Source organism: Homo sapiens, chromosome 3 (assembly GCF_000001405.40).
Source record: "Homo sapiens chromosome 3, GRCh38.p14 Primary Assembly".
Classification (NCBI taxonomy): domain Eukaryota; kingdom Metazoa; phylum Chordata; class Mammalia; order Primates; family Hominidae; genus Homo; species Homo sapiens.
Genome location: NC_000003.12, coordinates 112,171,045 through 112,182,570, shown reverse-complemented (window position 1 = coordinate 112,182,570; position 11,526 = coordinate 112,171,045). Strand labels below are relative to the sequence as shown.

The 11,526-nt window shown below is 38.5% G+C and overlaps 1 protein-coding gene across 10 annotated transcripts in view; it reads left to right on the top strand.

Annotated features, from left to right (window-relative positions):
- SLC9C1 (solute carrier family 9 member C1) overlaps positions 1–11,526 on the top strand; it is a 153,319-nt gene that overhangs the window by 111,646 nt on the left and 30,147 nt on the right. For 7 of the 10 annotated variants that reach the window (NR_135297.2, XM_011512718.2, NM_001320531.2 and 4 more), the window contains 3 exons: positions 313–438; positions 1,909–2,007; positions 2,870–3,040. The exons of 1 other annotated variant lie outside the window; for it this stretch is intronic. Coding sequence is in view for 8 of the 9 variants with exons in the window: in XM_011512718.2 (XP_011511020.1) it covers positions 313–438; positions 1,909–2,007; positions 2,870–3,040 (396 nt within the window). In the remaining variant the exon portion in view is untranslated. Of the gene's footprint in view, positions 1–312; positions 439–1,908; positions 2,008–2,869; positions 3,041–11,526 lie in introns of those variants that run through there. 2 more of the 10 variants (XM_011512719.2, XM_011512724.2) reach the window with 2 other exon arrangements.

The following is an 11,526-nucleotide window of genomic DNA, read 5'->3' as shown; positions in this document are numbered from 1 at the left end:
AAAACTACCTAAGAGGTACCATACTTATTACCTGGGTAACAAAATAATCTGTAAACCAAACCCCTGTGACATGCAACTTACCCATGTAACAAATCTGCACATGTATCACCTGAACCTAAAATAAAAGTTGGGAAGAAATAAAAATAATGATGATACAAAAAGAATCATGATATAAAGAGAGGTTGAAAATGTTCATGGAAGAAGAAAAATGTCAAATGATCAAGAATAGGAAATAGTACAAAGACCTGTCTGCCTTAAACATTCTGGGAACAGCAGTTTGGTTCATCCCTTTTCTTAAATTTTATGTTTTAGTTAATCATGGCCAAAAAGAAAGAGGTGCTTGATTCTCAATCTATTATCAGGCCTCTTACTGTTGAAGAAGTTCTATATCATATTCCGTGGCTAGATAAAAACAAAGATTATATAAACTTCATTCAGGTAACACTTTTATTTCCTATTAATAATATTTTTAATGTACTAACAAATAATCTTTAAAATAAGAATTTAACCATGATACTCTCTAGTTTAATATTCTCTAAATGTTCCTTATTTCTGATAGGATAAAATCAAAATCCTTTTGAATAATATGCAAAATGTTTCTACAATCTGTTTCCTGCCTACTTCAGCTTTGTCTTCTGTTTTCCATTGTCACATATCCTCTATACTCTATTTATACTGAACCACTCATGGTGTTCCATGCACATTACATGTTTTTCTAATTCCATTCATCTGTGGGTGCTATTTACTTTTCTTGAAATGCCCTTGTTTTTCACTTTTTTTTTTTCAAACTTTTCCTGCTTATTTCTTTTCTGGAAACATCCCCACCAGAGTACTCAGAGAAGTAGGTTTTGGGGCCAAATGCCCCAGTAGAAGACCTTCCTGTGAACTATATTGTTTTCAGAGGACCAATATTGCTGCCATTGTATCCAATATGTACCTTTATTATAGCATTAAGTACATTACATTACAATTATCTTTAGGTCTCCCTCCTACTATATTTTTTATCTCATCTACCTTTTGAATACCCAGCCCCTAGCACTTTGCATAATGCATAGTGGATGCTCAGTTAAGTGCTTGTGGAATGAGCAAATAAATGGATCTAACTTGTTCTAATATTCTTTTTTTAAATATCTATTTGATGTCAAAAGACCAATTATATTTTTCTACCTGATTAAACATTTTGAATAAATGAATATTTTATTTACCTGATCAGCTGTTTAGAGCAAGGGTATGTATGACATATGCATGCCATTAGCCTACATCTGTTCCCATTACTTTTCATCCAGATGAAAGATTTTTATCCCCTAATTACATTCTCATTCCTAGAGTACTTCTTTTCTAATCCGTGTATAAATACCCTATCTAAAATTGCATATATTCACAAAGATCCACCTTCCTCTTTACTATTCATAATTTCTATTTTCTGTTACAAACTTATTACTAATATATTTCAGATATTATCAAATGATAGTAATTTTTTAAATGTAAAAACTTTTTTTAAAAATGCAAATTTTAGGCCGGGTATGGTGGCTCACGCCTGTAATCCAAGCACTTTGGAAGGCCAAGGTGGGCAGAAAACCTGAGGTCAGGAGTCTGAGACCAGCCTGGCCAATGTGGTGAAACCCCGTATCTACTAAAAATGCAAAAATTAGCTGGGCATGGTCGTGGGCACCTGTAATCCCAGCTACTCAGGAGGCTGAGGTAGGAGAATTGGCTCAAGCAATTCTCCTTGGCTTGAACCCAGGAGGGGGAGGGTGCAGTGAGCCAAGATTGCACCACTGCACTCCAGTATGGGTGACAGAGCGAGACTCCGTCTCAAAAAAATAAATAACAAAAATGCAAATTTTAACATTCCCAACCACTTCTAAAATGTTGTTTATAGTTTATGTATTTGGTGGTATCTTTTAGGAAAAAGCCAAAGTTGTAACATTTGATTGTGGAAATGATATATTTGAAGAAGGTGATGAGCCCAAAGGAATCTATATCATTATTTCAGGCATGGTAAAGGTAAGGCAGAGGTTTTTGTTTTGTTTTGTTTTTTTGTTTTGAGACAGAGTTTCTCTCTTGTTGCCCAAGCTGGAGTGCAATGGCATGATCTTGGCTCACTGTAGCCTCCACCTCCTGGGTTCAAGTGATACTCCTGCCTCAGCCTCCCAAGTAGCTGGAATTGCAGGCACGCACCACCACACCCTGGTAATTTTTTGTATTTTTAGTGGAAACGGGGTTTCACCGTGTTAGCCAGGCTGGTCTCAAACTCCTGACCTCAGGTGATCCGCCCGCCTCAGCCTCCCAAAGTGCTGGGGTTACAGGCGTGAGCCACTGCGCCTGACCAGGCAGTGTTATTTATAAATGCACTTGTGATCATAAGTTTTTAAAGAAAACTTTATGAAATTGATAATTAGTAGCTTTCCATGTTAAGAACTGCATAGTTTCTTTTTTAGGACAGTGACTACCATCTAATGATAAATTTTCATGTTCAGACACAATGGATAACACTATCCATCATTTTAAAGCCATACTTTCTCACAGATAACAGGAAACTTTCAAAAGAATTATCTTTCACGATGGACAATTATAATATAAATTGTTATTCATCTTATGCTGATCTGAGTTAGAGATTTAGCCATCCTAAAATGGGTATAGATTAACTAAGTAGGAGGAATCAGAAAGATCAGAGTATTTAAGAATGCTTTGTGTCTAAATCATTGCTAATTTAATAATTTTACTTAAAAAGAAATAAAATATTTATTCTCAAGACAATATGTAAATATTAGAATTGTTCAAACCAAAGTGGAAAAAGTCATAAATTAGTTTTGGTAATACAAGTTAACTGGCATATGTATTTTTCTCTTTCTTTGTTCCTGAACAGCTTGAAAAATCAAAGCCAGGTTTAGGGATTGATCAAATGGTGGAGTCAAAGGAGAAAGATTTTCCGATAATTGACACAGACTATATGCTCAGTGGAGAAATAATAGGAGAGATAAACTGCTTAACTAATGAACCTATGAAATATTCTGCCACCTGCAAAACTGTAGTGGAGGTCAGAAAAACTTCGCCTGTGACTTTTGTTGTATTTTGTTAAATAATATCAGATTTAAGGTTATTTTAGTATTTAGTATAAGTTTACAGTCTAGTTGACAATTTACTTTTAAAAACTAGGAATTATAAAGGAACAAAACTTGCCGAATTACACTCATCTAGTATAAAGCCCTGGCAAAATAGCTTATGAATGTTAATCAACCATACAGAAAGAAAGATGTATCCAGAAAAACTGGCAATATAAGCTCTTTCATGGGGAAATTGGCTAACATATGTTAATTGTCAATACCATAATTTGAAAGATGAGAAAGGGGATAAAGACAGGGCTAGAATCTATTAATATAAAAGTTGGACAAAGTGCCTGGAAGTTTCCCTACACATGATTGAGAACAAAATCCTCACAGTACCAAGGGCTCCCACTGGCTTAATTTGAACTCAAAAAGAATAATGACTGCAAATAATTAAACTCCATAAATATGTGAAAACCCATACATTACATACATTGATAATGATGCTAATTTTTAAAATTTCTACTGAGGTTGCTAGGATATCATTTTATTACTTTGAAAATGGATTTTTTAAGAGAAAGAAGTAAACATTTATCTTGCCTTTCTTCTATGAACTCTTTCAAAGTAGTTTTTTAATTGGGAAAAATTCTATATAGAATTTCAGCTAATGAACGCAGAATGAGAGAATCAGAAAATCTCCATTGTGCCATCGCTAATAAAATAATAGATCTAGGAAACAACCTTCAGTTGGTGCTAAAACTACTAAGTGAATGTTAATAGAAAACGTTATAATGAAGGAAATACTACCTAAGGACATTGGTCAATATTAGTGTCACTAAATGGGACAACCAGGCATGATGTACCTCATGATGTGATGTAGCAGAAGTGCTAGCACCACCCATGAAGTCTCACACAAGAAAAAATCTGAAGTTCTTCAAGTCTATAGATTGAATCAGTTTACAGAAAATACAGGAAGGAGAGAAACAGGTTAATTGACAGCAAGAGGGAATAATCAGCTAAATTTAGAATGTGGAAGAGTCTGTAGACAAATAACCTGATTTCTTTAACAAATCAATGGCATAAAATGTGAATGGAGTAGCAGACATGGTGGCTTATACCTGTAATCCCAAAACTTTGGGAGGCTGGGGCAGGAGGATTGCTTGAGGCCAGGAGTTTGAGACTGGCCTGCAACATATCTGCAAAAAATAAAAAAAAAAATTAGCCAGGCATGGTGACACATGCCTGTAGATCCAGCTACTTGGGAGGCTGAGAAGGGAGGATTGCTTGAGCTCAGGAACCCAAAGTTACAGTCAGTCATGATTGCACCACTGCACTCCAGACTGGTAACAGAGCCAGACTCTGTCTCTGTTTACAAAAAAAAAAAAATATGTAGTGGTAGAGGGGAAGAAGGCAAAGAAAAATTATTAAAAATGGACTTAAGAGATATAATAACCAAATAAATACAATTGCTGTAATTTGAACAAACCAATTATAAAGAGACCTATTTGAGATAATTTAGGACATTTTAATGTGAACAGAATACTAAATGATATTTTTATTTTTGGCATATAATCACATATGTTATATATTTAAAATATCTCTATCATTAAAATATTTAAAAATAAAATTATATATTTATGATACCTGGAATTTGCATAAAACACTCTAGCCTTCTGCTTTGGGCTATAATGAAGTTACTAGTAACAGAGCAGCACATCTGCTATAAAAAAAAAACCCTAAAACTTAATAAAATATATGAGGCAAATGTGATTTTTTTTCTATTTAATTTTTTTTTTTTTTTTGAAAAAAAATTTTTTTCATCCTTTTATTTTAGGTACAGGGGTACATGTGCAGGTTTGTTATATAGGTAAACTTATGTTACCCAAAACTAAGAGATGAGAAACTCACAAGGTAAGCCCTACATTCACCCCGATCCTCTGCTTAGGACCATTTCCTGACCATGATGCAATAAGAATCCAAGCAGAAGATGGCGATCCTGCTAAGCTGAGAAATGAGACATCAGAAGTTGTGGAAGCTAACTTGGCTAGAAACTGCAGAGCAGGAAGTAAGACAAAGTCTTACACGGAGAAAGACCCAAGTAGCCTGTGTGGTGGTTCTCTACAAGTCCTTGGTTGAGAGACAGGCTGCAAATGCCCAGGATGAGACACAACTAGATTTACCAGATTGTTAAGAAAGGAAGAGAGATACCAGGAGTCAGGCAAGGTGTGGCGGGTCACGCCTGTAATCTCAGCACTTTGGTAGGTTGAGGCTGGTGGATCACCTGAGGTCAGGAGTTTGAGACCAGCCTGGCCAACATGGTGAAACCCTGGCTCCAATAAAAATACAAAAATTAGCTGGGCACAGTGGTGCACACCTGTAATCCCAACTACTTAGAAGGCTGAGGCAGGAGAATCACTTGAACCCAGGAGGCAGAGGTTGCAGTAAGCTGAGATCGCACCACTGCACTCCAGCCTGGGTGACAGAGAAAGACTCTATCACCAAAAAAAAAAAAAAAAAAGAGAGAGAGAGAGAGAGACACCAGGAGTCAAGAAGTCAAGATATCTAACAGAAAGGAAAGATCTGTTAAAATCTCAGGCCCACAGCTGAGAGACCAGAAAGAATAGGCCTTAGGAGTAAGAATCATGACCTAGAAGAAGGCTTGCTCTTATTCTAAGACCTAACAAAGCCTTGGAGCAAGCCCTGACAGCACCCATGGTGGAGACAGAGTTTGGAGACAAGTTACACTGTCTTAGATACCTGAGGTTTTCTACTGATTCACTCAAGCAAATTGTAAAACCCAGCCTATACAAGCTCAGTGTGATCAGATAGTAAATGAACTGCTTACTATAACAAAAATCAACAATTTTCAGAAGAAGATAAAATAATCTAGAATCTCTGTAGTGTTATCATGAGCAACCATGAATTACAAAACAAGCAAAGAAGCATGAAATTGTGATCTATAGTATAAAAGGTGAGGAGTAAAGCATTCGGTAAAAACCATCATGGAGATTGTCCAGACTATAGATTGGTCAAAGACTTTAAACCAGTTGTTAAAAATCGATTCTGGAGAGAGGTGGCCAACATGGCTGACTAGAAGCAGCTGGTGTGTGCCGCTCTCACAGAGAGGGATGGAAGGGGCAAGTAAACATAGCACTTTCAACTGAAACATCCAGGTACACACATTGGGACTAATCAAGGAAACAACTCAATTCACGGAGAACGGAGAAAAGTAAGGCAGGATGACCACCCACCTGGGAGTGACACAGAGTCAGGGGAACCTCCCCTGCCCAGGGAAGCAGTGAGTGAATGAGGAGTCCCAGGAACCCATGCTTCTCCCATGGATCTTTGCAACCCTCCAGTCAGGAGGACCCACTCCACTAGGGTTTGCAGTCTGACATGCAGAGCTATGTGGAGTCTTGGCAGAGCAGCCACTCAGGCACATGTGGAGCCCTAGGAGCCTTAGATACCCAGGCCTCCCAGCAAAAGCAGCTGCAACCCTCAGCAGGAGGTTAGATCCCTATACCTACTCCTAAGAAAGGGACTGAATCCAGGGGACTGACCAATGATGGTCTGCAGGACCGTGGTACATCACATGATAAGACCCACTGGCTTGGAAATCCAGCCAGCCACGGGTAGCAGCATTGCATCTCTCTGAGAAAGAGCTCCCAGCAGGTCGGGCGGGCCACCACCTTTGCTGTTTCACAGCCTCAACCACTGTTGCCTTAGGGCTCCAGCAAATCGGTGGCAATGAGGGACTAGAGCAGTCCCTCAGCACTGCTCAGCAGTACTATGGAGAAGCAGTCAGACTTCTTATTCATGCACATCCCGAATCCCATTTCTCCTCACTAGGCAGAATCTCCCAACTGGGGTCCTCCAATCACCCCTGCTGGTGTTGGCCAACTGAGTTTCAAACCTCCTTGTTACAGAGCGCCCAGAGGGAGGGTGGACCACCATCTTTGCTGTTTGGTCAACTTAGCTATTCTTGCCTTCGGGCTTTGAAGAGTCCAAGGCAACTGAAGGCTGGAGTGGACCTCCAGCTAGCACAGCTGCTCTATGAAAACATGGCCAGACTGTTATTTTTAAGTAGGTCTCTGATCCCATTCCTTTTCACTGGGTGGGACCTCCTGACCGGGTTCTCCAGCTACCTCCTACAGGTGTGTTCGGGCTGGCAATAGGTTCATACCTCCCTGGGGCAGAGCTCTCAGAGGGAGAGGCAGGCCACCATCTCTGCTGTTTCGCACCCTCCACTCATTGTTACCTTCAGGCACTAGAAAGTCCGAGGTGACTAGGGACTGGAGCGGACACCCAGCATACTGCAGCAGCCCTATGGAAAAGTGGCCAGACTATTACATGGAGCTAGTTCCCACATCTCCTCACTGGGCAAGTCCTCCAGGCCTGGGCCTCCAGCCACCCTTTGTCAGGGCTATTGAGCCAGTAGCAGTTCTGCAACTCCCTGGACAGGACTCCCTTGGGAAGGGGAGTTGCTATCCTTGCTGTCTTGCAGCCCTTGCCCTTGCTGTCTCCAGGATCCAGAGAGTCTGTAGGGACCAGAGGCTGGTCCAGACCCCCAGCAAAGAGCAACCAGCTCACAGAAAAGTGGCCAGACTGTTCTCCACGCAGATCCAGATCCTCACTTTTCCTCACTGGGCAGGGCTGCCTGGCCTGGGACTCCAGCACAATGACCCAACCCTTGCCTGATCACCACAATCAAAGACAGCCCAGCATTTCTTCAAGGAGGAAATCATAGAGTCAACTCACAACCCCTCTGCTACTACAGTTGCAGTGGCTCAGCCCTTACAGCCCTGACACTGGAAAGGAACAAAGGGCCTAGTCATTATGCTGGCACCTCCAGCACATGGCAGCCACCATATGGAGGTGAACCACCACCCCAACTCTTCACCAGGCAGGGCCCCCAGCTCATGAAAGTAGAACAGTTGCTCCATCCACAACTGCGCATACTCACTGGTAGTAGCACAGAGGTTGCCCAGGGAGAGGCTCCTAGAGACATACAACTGCACCCCCGCTCCCTCCACTGCCACAGTAACAGTTGTATCCCTGCTGCCCTTAGTCTGGGGAAGAAACAAAGAGCCTGAGGGCTACACCCAAGCTTACCACATGCCACTGCTACCAGAGGAAAGACCAATCTTTCCTCCCTGTGAGCTTTTGGCCCCCTGATCCCCAGCATGAAAAATCCTAAGGTCATGACAACAGTACACACAACCCACCCCTCCAGCTGACCAGTAACAGCAGCTCCACATTTCATGGAGGTGGAGCCCCCAGGGGCAACAACTTACAGAATGGAAGACAATGCTTGCAAACTATGCATCTGACAAAGGTTTATAAGCCAGAATCTCTAAGAAACTTAAACAAATTAACAAGCAAAACACAAACAACCCCATTAAAAAGTGGGCAAACCATATGAACCGACAATTTTCTAAAGAAGATGTAAACATGGCCATCAAGCATATGAAAAAATTCTGACGATCACTAACCATTTACATTTGAAATACAAATCAAAACACAATGAGATACCATCTCACACCAGTCAGAATGACTATCATTAAAAAGTCAAAAAATAACACATGCTGGCAAGGCTGTGGAGAAAAGGGAATGCTTATATCCTACTGATGGGAATGTAAATTAGTTCAGCCATTGTGGAAAGAACGTTGGCAATTTCTAAGAGAACTTAAAACAGAATTACCATTCAACCCAACAATTTTGTTATTGGGTATATACAGAAAGGAACATAAATCATTCTACTATAAAGACACATGTATGTGTATGTTCTTTGCAGCACTATTCACAACAGCAAAGACATGGAATCAACCTAAATGCCCATCAACAGTAGACTGGATAAAGAAAATGTGGTACATACACACCATGGAATACTATGCAGCCATAGAAAAGAATGAGATCATGTCCTTTGCAGCAACATAGATGGAGGTGGACACTATTATCCTTAGCAAACTAACACAGGAACAGAAAAGCAAATACTGCATGTTCTCATTTATAAATGGGAGCTAAACATCAAGTACATATGGACACAAAAAAGGGAGCAAGATACACCAGAGCCTACTTGAGAGTGGAGTGTAGGGAGGAAGGTAAGGATCAAAAAACTACTTATCATGTACCATTATGCTTATTACCTGGGTGATAAAATGATCTGTACACCAGATCCCTGCGAAATGTAATTTACCTATATAACAAACCTGCACTTCTATCCTTAAACCTAAATGAAAAAATTTTAAAAAGCACACACGTCAAAATTTACTTAAGGACTAGAACTTTTTAATAGTACTATACATACTGAGATTTTTGGAATTTGTGTCCTTCCCACAAAAACAACTCCATGCCAGATGGTTTTACTGATGAGTTTTATCAAATATTTCAGGAAGAAATAATATGAATCTTACACAGACTTTGTCAGGAAACAAAGGAGGAAAAAAAGCTTTCCAGTGCATTTTATGGGGCCAGTGCAAACAAATACTAAACCTTGAAAAAACATTTCAGCAAAAGAAAATTACAGACCAATAATCCCACATTAATGTGGACACAAAAAAATCATTAATAAGATACTAGCAAGTTGAATCTAAGAATATATTAAAAGGATTAGACATCAAAACTAAATAAATGAGCTTTATTTTAGGAATATAAGATTGATTCGACATTTGAAAATCAACCATTGTGATTCAACACATTATAAGAAAAAAACAGAAAATTTATATAAGATATTCAAGTAGATATAGAACAAAGAGAATTTTACAAAATGTAACATTCTTTTAAAAAATCTCCAAAAACTCAGAATAGAATGCAACTTCCTGAACTCAATAAGGGGCATTTATTATAAATTTACAGCTAACATCACATCTAGTGATGAAAAACTAAGACGGTAAGACTGAGAGCAAGACAAGAATGTCCACTCTCACCACTTCCATTCAGTATTATATTGGAGTTGTTAACTAGTACAATAGGGCTAGAAAAAGAAGTAAACTGACATAAAAATTACAAAGAAAGCACTAAAATTGTCTCTGCAAGATGGCATGATATCTACATTTGTAAGATTCTACCAAAAATAACTAGAATTTATAATGAATTTAGTAAGATGGTAAAATACAAGTCCAAATTCCAAAAATTAATTGTGTTTTCATATACTAGTAACAAACAACTGGAAATAAAATTTTTAATTCTTTTTACAAAAATAATCAAAGTATAAAAGAGATAAAGTTAATGAAATACGTGGAATAACTCTACAATGAAAACCATAGAATATTTCCTAGATAACTGAAAAAAGATTAAATAAATGGAGAAGTACACCGTATTTGTGGATTAGAGCCCATAATATTATTAAGATATCCATTCTTCAAAAATTGATCTATAGATTTAATACAACCTCAATCCAACTCTCCACAGACTCTTTTTGTAGAATATATATGAAAATGCAGAGGACCTATAATAGGCAAAACAAATATAAAAAAGTTAGATGATTTACACTACCTGATTTAAAGGCATACATCCTGTGTAATTAAGGCCACATGATGTTGGCTTTAGGTTAAGATGTAGAGATCAATACAACAGAAAAGAGAATCCATAAATAAATCCACACATACATAGTCAATAGATTTTTGACAAAGGATCAAATTATCTCAATGGAAAAATTACAATATTTTCAACAAATAATCCTGAAAACACTGAATATCCATGCAGAAGCAATGAACCTTGATCCCCATGTACTAGGCCCAAAATGTAATGTGGCATGATCATATACTTTAACATGAAAGATAGAACTATATAAATTATAGAAGAAAACATAGGAGAACTTAAGGTAGGCAAAGATTTCTTAGCCAGGATTTTTTTAAGTACTAACCATAAAACGAAATATTGATAAATTGGATGTCACCAAAATTAAAAATCTTCTGCTCTTCAAAAGACATCACAAAAAATATGAGCAGCAGGCTCAGGGAAAAATATGAGTCATGGGCTTAGGGATTTTTCAAAAGTTCCCCAAGAAAAGGATTTGATAATAGAATCTATAAATAACTCTTAACAATTCAAAAATAAGAAGACAAACTACTGAATTAAAAACTGGGCAAAGAATGTGAACAGACACTTTACAAAGAATATACAAATGGCCAATAAACACATGAAGATGTTCACCATCATTAGCTGCCAGAAACATGCAAATTAAACCCACAGTGGTACGTCAATACACACCTACTACATTGCCTAAAAATAAAAACACTGAATAACAGGTATTGGCAAGGACGTGGAGCAACTAAAATTTTCTTTTCTTTTCTTTTCTTTTTTTTTTCTGACAGAGTCTCACTCTGTTGCCCAGGCTGGAGTGCAATGGCTCCCAATCTCAGCTCACTGCAACCTCCGCCTCCCGGATTCAAGTGATTCTCCTGCCTCAGCCTCCCAAGTAGCTAGGATTACAGTCACGTGCCACCATGCCCAGATAATTTTTGTATTTTTAGTAGAG